This window comes from Homo sapiens, chromosome 2 (genome assembly GCF_000001405.40).
Source record: "Homo sapiens chromosome 2, GRCh38.p14 Primary Assembly".
Taxonomy (NCBI): domain Eukaryota; kingdom Metazoa; phylum Chordata; class Mammalia; order Primates; family Hominidae; genus Homo; species Homo sapiens.
In genome coordinates, this window is record NC_000002.12 from 66644497 (window position 1) to 66657318 (window position 12822).

The window sequence follows — 12822 nt, forward strand, 5'->3', positions numbered from 1 at the left end:
TCAGCTTAAGGAGATTTTGGGCTGAGATGATGGGGTTTTCTAGATATATAATCATGTCATCTGCAAACAGGGACAATTTGACTTCCTCTTTTCCTAATTGAATGCCCTTTATTTCCTTCTCCTGCCTGATTGTCCTGGTAAGAACTTCCAACACTATGTGGAATAGGAGTGGTGAGAGAGGGCATCCCTGTCTTGTGCCAGTTTTCACAGGGAAAGCTTCCAGTTTTTGCCCATTCAGTATGATATTGGCTGTGGGTTTGTCATAGATTGCTCTTATTATTTTGAGATATGTCCCATCAATACCTAATTTATTGGGAGTTTTTAGCATGAAGGTTGTTGAATTTTGTCAAAGGCCTTTTCTGCATCTATTGAAATAATCATGTGGTTTTTGTCCTTGGTTCTGTTTATATGTTGGATTACGTTTATTGATTTGCGTATGTTGAGCCAGCCTTGCATCCAAGGGATGAAGCCCACTTGACCATGGTGAAAAAGGTTTTTGATGTGCTGCTGGATTTGGTTTGCCAGTATTTTATTGAGGATTTTTGTATTGATGTTCATCAAGGATATTGGTCTAAAATTCTCTTTTTTGTTGTGTCTCTGCCAGGCTTTTGTATCAGGATGATGCTGGCCTCATAAAATGAGTTAGGGAGGATTCCCTCTTTTTCTATTGATTGGAATAGTTTCAGAAGGAATGGTACCAGCTCCTCCTTGTACCTCTGGTAGAATTCGGCTGTGAATCCATCTGGTCCTGGACTTTTTTTGGTTGGTAAGCTATTAATTATTGCCTCAATTTCAGAGCCTGTTATTGGTCTATGCAGAGATTCAACTTCTTCCTGGTTTAGTCTTGGGAGGGTGTATGTGTCAAGGAATTTATCCATTTCTTCTAGATTTTCCAGTTTATTTGCATAGAGGTGCTTGTAGTATTCTCTGATGGTAGTTCGTATTTCTGTGGGATCAGTGGTGATATCCTCTTTATCATTTTTTATTGCGTCTATTTGATTCTTCTCTCTTTCCTTATTAGTCTTCCTAGTGGCCTATCAATTTTGTTGATCTTTTCAAAAAAGCAGCTCCTGGATTCACTGATTTTTTGAAGGGTTTTTCGTGTCTCTATATCCTTCACTTCTGCTCTGATCTTAGTTATTTCTTGCCTTCTGCTAGCTTTTGAATGTGTTTGCTCTTGCTTCTCCAGTTCTTTTAATTGTGATGTTAGGGTGTCAATTTTAGATCTTTCCTGCTTTCTCTTGTGGACATTTAGTGCTATAAATTTCCCTCTACACACTGCTTTGAATGTGTCCCAGAGATTCTGGTATGTTGTGTCTTTGTTCTCATTGGTTTCAAAGAACATCTTTATTTCTGCCTTCATTTCATTATGTACCCAGTAGTCATTGAGGAGCAGGTTGTTCAGTTTCCATGTAGTTGAGTGGTTTGTGTGAGTTTCTTAATCCTGAGTTCTAGTTTGATTGCACTGTGGTCTGAGAGACAGTTTGTTATAATTTCTGGTCTTTCACATTTGCTGAGGAGTGCTTTACTTCCAACTATGTGGTCAATTTTGGAATAGGTGTGGTGTGGTGCTGAAAAGAATGTATATTCTGTTGATTTGGGGTGGAGAGTTCTGTAGATGTCTATTAGGTCTGCTTGGTGCAGAGCTGAGTTCAATTCCTGGGTGTCCTTGTTAGCTTTCTGTCTTGTTGATCTGTCTAATGTTGACAGTGGGGTGTTAAAGTCTCCCATTTTTATTGTGTGGGAGTCTAAGTCTCTTTGTAGGTCACTCAGGACTTGCTTTATGAATCTGGGTGCTCCTGTATTGAGTGCATATATATTTAGGATAGTTAGCTCTTCTTGTTGAATTGATCCCTTACCATTATGTAATGGCCTTTTTTGTCTCTTTTGATCTTTGTTGGTTTAAAGTCTGTTTTATCAGAGACTAGGATTGCAACCCTTGCCTTTTTTTGTTTTCCATTTTCTTGGTAGATCTTCCTCCATCCCTTTATTTTGAGCCTATGTGTGTCTCTGCAGGTGGGATGGGTTTCCTGAATACAGCACACTGATGGGTCTTGACTCTTTATCCAATTTGCCAGTCTGTGTCTTTTAATTGGAGCATTTAGCCCATTTACATTTAAGGTTGATATTGTTATGTGTGAATTTGATCCTGTCGTTATGATGTTAGCTGGTCATTTTGCTTGTTAGTTGATGCAGTGTCTTCCTAGCCTCGATGGTCTTTACAATTTGGCATGTTTTTACAGTGGCTGGTATTGGTTGTTCCTTTCCATGTTTAGTGCTTCCTTCAGAAGCTCTTTTAGGGCAGGTCTGGTGGTGACAAAATCTCTCAGCATTTGCTTGTCTGTAAAGTATTTTATTTCTCCTTCACTTATGAAGCTTAGTTTGGCTGGATATGAAATTCTGGGTTGAAAATTCTTTTCTTTAAGAATGTTGAATATTGGCCCTCACTCTCTTCTGACTTGTAGAGTTTCTGCTGCGAAATCCGCTGTTAGTCTGATGGGCTTCCCTTTGTGGGTAACCCGACCTTTCTCTCTGGCTGCCCTTAACATTTTTTCCTTCATTTCAAGACAATTATGTGTCTTGGAGTTGCTCTTCTCGAGGAGTATCTTTGTGGCGTTCTCTGTATTTCCTGAATCTGAATGTTGGCGTGCCTTGCTAGATTGGGGAATTTCTCCTGGATAATATCCTGCAGAGTGTTTTCCAACTTGGTTCCATTCTCCCTGTCACTTTCAGGTACACCAATCAGACGTAGATTTGGTCTTTTCACATAGTCCCATATTTCTTGGAGGCTTTGTTCATTTCTTTTTATTCTTTTTTCTCTAAACTTCTCTTTTCACTTCATTTCATTCATTTGATCTTCCATCACTGATACTCTTTCTTCCAGTTGATCGATTCGGCTACTGAGGCTTGTGCATTAGTCACGTAGTTCTCGTGCCTTGGTTTTCAGCTCCATCAGGTCCTTTAAGGAATTCTCTGCATTGGTTATTCTAGTTAGCCATTCATCTAATTTTTTTTCAAGGTTTTTAACTTCTTTGCCATGGGTTAGGACTTCCTCCTTTAGCTCGGAGTAGTTCGATTGTCTGAAGCCTTCTCTCAACTCGTCATAGTCATTCTCTGTCTAGCTTTGTTCCGTTGCTGGTGAGGAGCTGTGTTCCTTTGGAGGAGGAGAGGTGCTCTGATTTTTAGAGTTTCCAGTTTTTCTGCTCTTTTTTTTCCCCATCTTTGTGGTTTTATCTACCTTTGGTCTTTGATGATGGTGACGTACAGATGGGGTTTTGGTGTGGATGTCCTTTCTGTTTGTTAGTTTTCCTTCCAACAGTCAGGAGCCTCAGCTGCAGGTCTGTTGGAGTTTGCTGGAGGTCCACTCCTGACCCTGTTTGCCTGGGTATCAGCAGCGGAGGCTGCAGAACAGAGGATTTTGGTGAACAGCAAATGTTGCTGCCTGATTGTTCCTCTGGAAGTTTTGTCTCAGAGGAGTACCCAGCCGTGTGAGGTGTCAGTCTGCCCCTACTGGGGGGTGCCTCCGAGTTAGGCTACTCGGAGGCCAGGGACCCACTTGAGGAGGCAGTCTGTCCCTTCTCAGATCTCCAGCTGCGTGCTGAAAGAACCACTGCTCTCCTCAAAGCTGTCAGACGGGGACATTTAAGTCTGCAGAGGATTCTGCTGCCTTTTGTTTGGCTGTGCCCTGCCCCCAGAAGTGGAGTCTACAGAGGCAGGCAGGCCTCCTTGAGCTGCGGTGGGCTCCACCCAGTTTCAGCTTCCCAGCAGCTCTGTTTACCTACTCAAGCCTCGGCAATGGCGGGCACCCCTCCCCCAGCCTTGCTGCCGCCTTGCAGTTTGATCTCAGACTGCTGTGCTAGCAATGAGCGATGCTCCATGGGCATAGGACCCTCTGAGCCAGGCACGGTTGTAATCGCCTGGTGTGCCGTTTGCTAAGAGCATTGGAAAAGCGCAGTATTAGGGTGGGAGTGACCGGATTTTCCAGGTGCCATCTGTCACCCCTTTCTTTGACTAGGAAAGGGAATTCCCTGACCCCTTGCACTTCCCAGGGGAGGTGATGCCTCGCCCTGCCCTAGCTCACGCTGGGTGCGCTGCACCCACTGTCCTGCACCCACTTTCCGACACTCCCCAGTGAGATGAACCTGGTACCTCAGTTGGAAATGCAGAAATCACCCATCTTCTGTGTCGCTCATGCTGGGAGCTGTAGACTGGAGCTGTTCCTATTAGGCCATCTTGGCTCCACCCCCCAATTTATTTGGTTCTTAATGACCTTTTTTTTTTTTTAAGAGTCACTTCTCAAAATATGAATAGTCTGTTAATTATTTATATTTCAGTGGACCCACCGCAAAGCTGCTATCAATTAATAAATACTACAGCAGGATTTAATTTGTTCTCATACTTACTCAATGGGATACCACTTTGGGGGAAGAGCAAGAAGTGATGAGCCAGTGGGAAGCATCCTAGGACAAACCTAACCCACCCTTTTCTACTTTATACTAAACAGTCCACCAATTATAGTTTTGCTAATTGCAAGGAAAATGTTAAGCCTATAATGTGTCAATGCAAAGCACTAAAGAAAGTACGTGCTAATACAATTCTGTGAGATAAAGTAGAAGGCTGTGATACATTTTCTGGCTCCTTGCCTTAACCATGGGAAGAAAAAAGTGTCTTATTTGAAGGCAGTCATGAAAGGGGAGGAACTCATGAAAGAGTCTCGTAGGTTGATTGTGAAAAAGACGATGTAGAGGAATTCCAGAGTCTCTGTTTTAGTTGCATGCTGTGGAAAGCCAAGTTAGCGTAGAGCTGAGGATGAAGCCCAAACAACCACATGCTTGAGGCATCAAAGGACAGAAACAGGAAAGGAAGGACAGGCAGACACACACACACAGAGACACAGACACACACACACAGACACACACACACACACTCAAAGGAATTATTTTAAAGCAGTAAACATATCTTTTACTGAAATACCAAATTTCATTTTATGGGCATTTTTTGTTTTTGAGTTACATATGTCAGAGAAGGGTACTCTCATCCTCTCAATGTTTGAGTTTGTTTCTGTGTTGATCCAATCCTAACTGCAGGATTTGTTCAGTGAACCAAGACATGTATCTTTAAAGCCAAAGGTGGTTTCACTAAAACAGTGATTCTCAAACTTTTTGATCTCATATCCTTATACAACTTTTTTAAATTATTGAGAATTTTCATTTTGTTATTATACCCATTGATATTTACCATATTAGAAACTGGAACTGAGAAAAAACTACTTATTCACTTATCTAAATCCCATTTTACATTTTGATAATTTTTTTTGTGAAAACATTTTTCAAAACAAAAAAATAATGAGAACAGTGGCAAAATGTTCAGCTGAATAGATGACAGATTCTCATATCTGTTTCTGGATTTGTTTTTTTGTATCATGTAGTCTCTGGAAAACTCTTATGTACTATAATGAGAGAACAGAAACGAAAATGGAAAGAACACTTTAGTATTTTGGGGAAAATAGTTTTGAATTCATAGACTTCCTGAGAATGTCTCAGGAATACCCCAGGAATCTCCATACCACACTTGGAGAACTACTATCCCAAGACAAAGTCGTATGCTTGGTCGAGACTGAGTGGCCTGATTTAATTGTTGCTGTTGTTATTGCATCACTATAGGTTATTGGTTTTAAAAAGCCCATCTCTTCACACTCTGAATTTGGAATATGTCTTATATTGATAGTGACTTACAACAGCTGTTGGCCCCGTGGCAGTTGTGATGTAGTTATTACCTGCACAAGCATGAATTTGGTCATAGCTATTCACGGCATCAGTATTTTTATTGAATTATTTGCATTGTTGTTATGTGTTGAGAGTTTAGTTGTCATTTAAAGTCTCTTTCTTTCAGAATTTATAGTATAACATAGTTCTGAGATGAGAAGTTACTGTAGATGCAGAAAGGCAAGCAGAGAGCAGTGGGGCATATATCTGACATTAGGAAAGCGATTTTGGGAGAAGGAATAGGATTCTATATTTTCTTGCATAAGAACAACAACGTACTTCATGGTATCAAAAAAGGTACTAAATCCACACGCATCTATGGCTGAATTGTGTGTTGTTAGTGAGAAATGTGCAAAATGATTGCCTTTCATGTGCCAAACCACACACCTGAAGACACAAAAACTTGCCAAATCTCTTGGTATCGAGGAAAGATGCTGCACAGCAATGAGAGGATGATGTGACCAATTTACGTGTCATGCAGGATTATCATTAAGGTAGGGTGTCATTACTTAATTGGCAGCCTTTTTCCTTTCTTAGAGGTCCATTAAATAATTCATGTCTTTCCATTGATGACATCTTAGATTGAGTACAATAGTCATAACAATATTTTTGACTGGTGTACTTGTTTCCTAGACTTGTGATCACAGGTTACCACAAACCAGGTGGCTTAACACAACAGAAATTTATTCTCTCACAGTTTTGGGGACTAGAAGCCTGAACTCAAGGTGTCAGCAGAGTCATGCACCTTCTAAGACTGGTGGAATCCCTCCTTTCCTCCTTCTAGTTTCTGATGGTGGCGTAATTCCTTGGTGTTTCTTGGCATGCAGGTGTATCATCCCAGTCTTTGCTTCTGTCATCACAGGATGGTCTCCTTGTGTACCTCTGTCTTCACATGGTGTTTTTCCCTTTTTGTAGGGACACCAGTGATATTGGATTAAGGACTCACCCAACTCCAATATGACCTCATCTTAACTAATTACAACTATAAAAACTCTATTTCCAAAAACGTCACATTCTGGGGTACTGGGGGTTAGGACTTCAACATGTCTTTTGGGAGGCTATAATTCAACCCATAACAACAGATAAGGAACATAATATTTCTATGTCTGTGGCAGAGAAAATTCTATGGGTTTCCAAATTCTGTTTTGTATTCCTCCCTCCTGGGCACAATAAAAATTTTATTTTCCAGTTCCCTTGCAGTAAAGCAAGAGTGTGTGATTAATTATGGGCAATGAAATTTGAGAATAAGTGGCATGTGTCACTTCTGGGCTGAGGCAGTAAAAAGCTGCTGTGTGACTTTTCAGTTTCTTGATTTTCCTCAGGTAGTGAGTGTAAGAGCAATGTGTTGAGATAGCAAACCCACAAGATCACAGCAGCCTGGATCTCTGAGTTACTATATGGATGATGAAGCACTACACTGTTGAGTCTGACCTAAAGCAATCTTTATATTGTGAGAAATTTGTGTGTGTTAAACCACTGAGATTTTGGAGTCATATGTCACAGAAGCATAATCTAGTCTATCCTGATTAACACATGAAGATGCACCAAGAGGTAGAGGATGGCATGAAGTGATGAATTTCCAATTAACTTTCTGTAGCCATATCTATGAATTCTTTCTAAGGGTGAAATACTTCTTTTAACATTCAAAAATCAATCAATGTTACACACCACATCAATAGAATAAAGGACAAAAACCACATGATTATCTCAATAGATGCAGAAAAAAAAATTGACAACATCCAACACTTTATTATGATGAAAACACTGAACAAACGAAGGCAAGTCAACTTCCTCAACCTAATAAAGGGCATCTACAAAAAAATCCATCACTATGATCATATATAATGGTGATTTCCTCCTAAGATTAAGAACAATATGAGAATGTCCACTCTCTCATCAGTTTCGTTCAACATTTGTACTGGAGGTTCGCTAGCCAGAGCAATTAAGCAAGAAAACAAGATAAAGGCATCCAGACAGGAAGGGAAAAAGTAAAATTATTTTTATTCACATATGATATGGTCTTATGTATAAAAAAATTTTAAGGAACTCACACAAAATGATTAAATCTAATATAAATGAATTCAGCAAAGTTGCAAGGTACAAGCTCAATATATGAAATCAATTTTATTTATATGTACTAGCAATGAACAAGCCCAAGTGAAGTTAAGAAAACAATTCAATTTATAATAGAATTAAAAGAATAAAATGCTTGGGAATACATTTAAAAAGTATAAGATGTATACACTGAAAACAATAAAACATTATTGAAAGATATTAAAGAAGATCTAAATAAATGGAAAGATATTCCATGTTCATAGATTGGAAGTCGGTATTGGGTTTTTTTGTTTGTTTGTTTGTTTTTTGCTTTCTTAACTTGTATTTTAGGTTCAGGGGTACATGTGAAAGTTTGTTACATAGGTAAATTCATGTCACGGGGTTTGTTATACAGATTATTTCATTACCCATGAATTACGCCCAGTGCCCAATAGTTATCTTTTCTGCTCCTGATAATATTGCTGAGGTGATAATACTCTCCCAAATTGATCTACAGATTCACACAATTCCTATTAAATTCCAGCTACCTTTTTTTTTTGGTAAAAGTTGATAACTCATGTTAAAATACCTATGGAAATTCAAGGAACCCAGAACACCTAGAACAACCCTGAAAAACAGCAAAGTTGGAGGGCTCACTCATCAGAATAAAATTAACAGGCTCACACATACTGTTTTTTAGAAAAGCAACATCTTTATTTTAAACATAAAATTAATATATTCTTACTTGTACTAGTAAGGATAGGCAAGGTCATTCTTCATGAACAAACTCTCCAAATCTTAAAAGTTTAGAATAATAAGAGTTAATTTTTTGCTCTAATTAAGTGTCCACTGGGGATTGGCTGAGAGCTCCGATCCACATCTCATTTCCGAATCTAGGCTGATGGAGCAGCCGCTATCTCAAACTTGAGCCACCATCTCAAGGGTTTGTGTCAAAAGAAAAGAGCTCAGGAGGATCCTGCACCAGCAATTAAACATTCCAGCCTGGAAGTGACACATGCCATTTTTGCTCATAACTCTTTAGACAGAACCAATCACATGGTGCCACCCAACCACAAGGGGTCCTGGTATAATTCTTTCATGGGCTCACATAACAAGTAAATGCAACTCTGTAGTAAAGAGATAGATTATCTGTTGTAAGAAAATCAAATGATACAAAACCATTTCACTCAGTAATACCCCAGAGATGATCACCGTTAACAAGGTAGCATATATTTTCTAGACTCTTATAGGAATATACATATCCACACATACACAATTTAATTTAAAAATCACACTAGAAATGTCATTCTAAAATCTGTTCCTTCCTGGGCCCCCAGTCATATAACAATCACATTTCTCCATGAAAAGACATATAATTTTACCTCATATCTTTTAGCTGCTACAGGCTAGGATGGACTGTGATTTACTTCATTCACTCTGTATAGAGTAATATTTAGTTTCTTTCTAGATTTTGATATTATTAAACACTTTGTAATCAATACTTTTGCACCTGTATCTTAGCTAACAGTAAATGTTTATGACTGACTGAATAAAGATGTCAACAAATGAATGAATGAAAACCAATCACCAGTGATTTAAGACTCCAAACACATGGCGAGAGAAGTAAAAAATGCATTATTCCAACCTTCTTCATGTTGTTTAGCATGCTTCAGAATGGCAATAAAGGCAGAGGAATTCTTACCTACGTTAATGTAGCAGGTCATTCACATTAGCATTTCTAGAGTTTGTTAAACCCCTGGATTCCTGTTCAAGTAAAACATTTGTTTTGATTATAAAACTTAATATCCACTCTGAGAGCCTGTGGAAATAGAAGGTAGATGGCAATGTTACTGCCGTAAGTCTGAAGCTCCTGAGACATGAACAAGATGGTAATGTGACTCCTCATTTATTTTTTATCTTCAGTTTCAATTTTTTTAATCATCATGTATCTAGAATGACTAGTGATTTTAAATGAGAAATTGGAATCTAAAGATAATCAGAGTTTTAGCAGTTTAAACCAATCACCAGTGCACCAGCTTGAAAAGCTTTGTGACTTTGACTGTGAAGGCATTTACAGTCCCAGGAGGAAAGTGGCTTTGGCAGCTCTCAGTTTTGATGGGTTAAGTAGTTTGTAGTTGGTTTTGGAGGGGGTGTTACTGTGGAAGATAAATGAATTCCTCAGTTTATGAACTTACTCCCCAGGCTGCTCAACTCAGCTAAGCTCTCATGGCAACTGCTCGATGGGGTTCTCACTGTGAGACAGTCAGCACCACGCTTGAAGCCCTGCAGGAAAAACAAACCCCACTGAATCAACCAAAATATTGGAGAGAACTTCAGTAGTTTCAGTAAATCCTAAATCAGAGAAGAAGATGGTGTGTGTGTGTATGTGCTTATCGTACATCCTTATTCACATGAGCTTTATAAGGACTCATCATAAAAGATGACTGAAAGCAACCAGAAAAACATTCTTCTTAGGCTGATCTATTTCATTTTCAATTCAAGCTGTATATAGTATGCAAAGCATATTTTAAAGATATGTTTAATTTTGCCAATTGTATTTGAGTAGTTATTTTCTTAGTCTGTGTGTGTGTGTGTGTGTATGTGTGATGAGAGAGAGAGAGAGATTTGGCCAAGGAGATAATAAGGGAGAAGGTAAATAATATGAGGAATTATAGCAAATTATTACGTCTGATTTGGGAATATAGAACAGGAATGTATCAATTAACTAGCAATGCACTACAAAATGCCATAGACTGGGCTTATTTCTTACAGTCCTAGAGATAGAGAATTTTAAGATCAAGGTTCCAGCAAAGTGGGCTTCATTCTGAGGCTTCTTCTCGTGGCTTGTAGGCAGCCACCAACTGAATGTGTGCTCACATGACTTCTTTGTATGAGCACACGGAGAGAAAGGTGGAGAGAGGCGTGGGGAGGAGCAGGCAGCACATTAGCTCTCCAGTGTCCTTTCTTATAAGGGCACTAATCCCATCATGAGTGCTCCTCTCATTATTTCATCTAATCCCAATGATCTCCCCAAATCCCATCTTCAAACACTGTCACACTGGGGTTTAGGGTTTCAACCAATGAATTTAGGGATGCACAAACATTCATTCCATAATAAGAGGTGTTAAATTCTTTGCTCACTAATCAGTCCCCAAAAAGTTCCTAGGAAATTGAAGTTTAAAACATTTCTATTTTGGATAATCTCCAGGTTTAAAAATCTCCACTCTGAAAATGATGTCTACACAAACATTCATTGTTGCCCCTCCATCTTACACAGGGTTGAACGTCTTCACCTTCATTCCCACCCTCATCTCTTACATCAAATCCTTGTGAATTTTTTAAAATGGTAGAGTCAGATAAAGATTAAAGACAGAAACAGGGTAAAGCAAATTTGAGAAACTGTTTCCAGGAGCCAACCCCTGGATATTCCCCTGTTTGCCAATTTCCTACTGCTACTACCCAAACCTTTAATTTGACTTCACTTTCTTATCTGAAATTTGACAATTAAAGATGCATTTAAGCTAACAAGCATTAACATTTAAAAAATGCAAATGTGTATGTGTGTGTTTGTGTGTGTTTTGAGGAGAATGCCATGTTAATAGACTATTAATTTTTTTGACAATAGTGGGATATTGGTGAATCCAAGTCCTTTTCTTTCTAGCGGATGGTTGAAGCTAACTGCACTGAGATCACAGAAGTTGTATGAAGGGGAAGAGACGGAGTATGGAGAAGTGGATGTGGGGAGAGGTCAGAATGGTGCACCAATGCATTCACCCCAGTACATACAGCAACTCAAAAGGCTCATGTCCCATATAATGGACACTGTATAAATATTTGTTGGATGAGTAAAATGAAGAAAGACTATTGAAGTGTCTGCGGAAAATACTAAAATTTGGGTGTTGGGTCTTATAAAAGGATGCTGACATGGTATAACAACTTCTTTTCACCTTTGCCAAGATTTCCTGAGTGTAACTCCTTGTTTATCTTTCTTTTGATTTTGTATCAGTACATCCTGAGCTTGATCTTGGGGGTTATCCAACATGTTATTATTACTTAGATAAACTGTTCACTCTCTGTAACTTGCACCTGAAAATGAACAAGGCCATTGAGAAAACCCAATGCTGAAAAGCTCCTTAAGCTGATAAACAACTTCAGCAATCTCAGGATACAAAAGCAATGTATAAAATCACTAGTATTCCTATACACCGACAACAACCAAGCTGCAAGCCAAATCAGGAATGCAATCCCATTCACAATTGCCACAAAAAGAATAAAATACCTAGGAATACAGCTAACCAGGAAAGTGAAAGATCTCTACAGGGAGAATTAAAAAACACTGTTCAAAGAAGTCAGAGATGACACAAACAAATGGAAAAACTTAACATGCTCATGGATTAGCCTCTTGCAGAAAAGGGAAGACCTTTGTCATATGCATTATTTGCAAATGTTTTCCCTATTCTGTAGGTTGTTTATTTATTCTGTTGATGGTTTCTTTCATTGTGTATGCAGAAGCTCTGTTGTTTAGCTAGATCCCATTCGTCAGTTTTTGCTTGCAATTGTTTTTGGCATCTTCATCATGAAATCTTTGCTTGTTCCTGTGTCCAGTATGTTATTGCCTAGGTTGTCTTCCAGGATTTTTATAGTTTTGGGTTTTACATTTAATTCTTTAATCCATATTGAGTTTATTTTTGTATGTGGTATAAGGAAGGGGTCCAGTTTTGGTATTCTGCATGTGGCTAGCCAGTTATCCCAGAACCATTTATTGAATAGGGAATCCTTTCCCCATTGCTTGTTTTTGTCAGCTTTGTTGAAGATCATATAATTGTAGGTGTGTGGCCTTTCTCATAAGCGCTCTCTATTCTGTTCCGTTGGTCTAGGTGTCGGTTCTTGTACCAGTACCATGCTGTTTGGGTTACTGTAGCCCTATAGTAGAGTTTGAAGTCAGGTAACGTGATGCCTCCAGGTTTTTTTTTTTTTTTTTTGCTTAGGATAACGTTAGCTATTCAGGCTCTTTTTTGGTTCC

General features: G+C 38.8%; 1 long non-coding RNA gene across 1 annotated transcript in view, besides 2 other annotated features; it reads left to right on the forward strand.

Moving 5' to 3' along the window:
• The window catches only part of LINC01798 (long intergenic non-protein coding RNA 1798), a 121559-nt gene that overhangs the window by 70467 nt on the left and 38270 nt on the right, over positions 1 to 12822 (forward strand). The window lies entirely within an intron of this gene.
• Positions 3194 to 3758: an enhancer, noted in NCBI's record as "H3K4me1 hESC enhancer chr2:66874822-66875386 (GRCh37/hg19 assembly coordinates)". NCBI's record gives its function as "activates a minimal SCP1, AML or CMV promoter by ChIP-STARR-seq in naive H9 embryonic stem cells {active_cell/tissue: H9 hESC(naive)}" and the evidence as "EXISTENCE:reporter gene assay evidence [ECO:0000049][PMID:30033119]".
• Positions 3759 to 4322: an enhancer, noted in NCBI's record as "H3K4me1 hESC enhancer chr2:66875387-66875950 (GRCh37/hg19 assembly coordinates)". NCBI's record gives its function as "activates a minimal SCP1, AML or CMV promoter by ChIP-STARR-seq in naive H9 embryonic stem cells {active_cell/tissue: H9 hESC(naive)}" and the evidence as "EXISTENCE:reporter gene assay evidence [ECO:0000049][PMID:30033119]".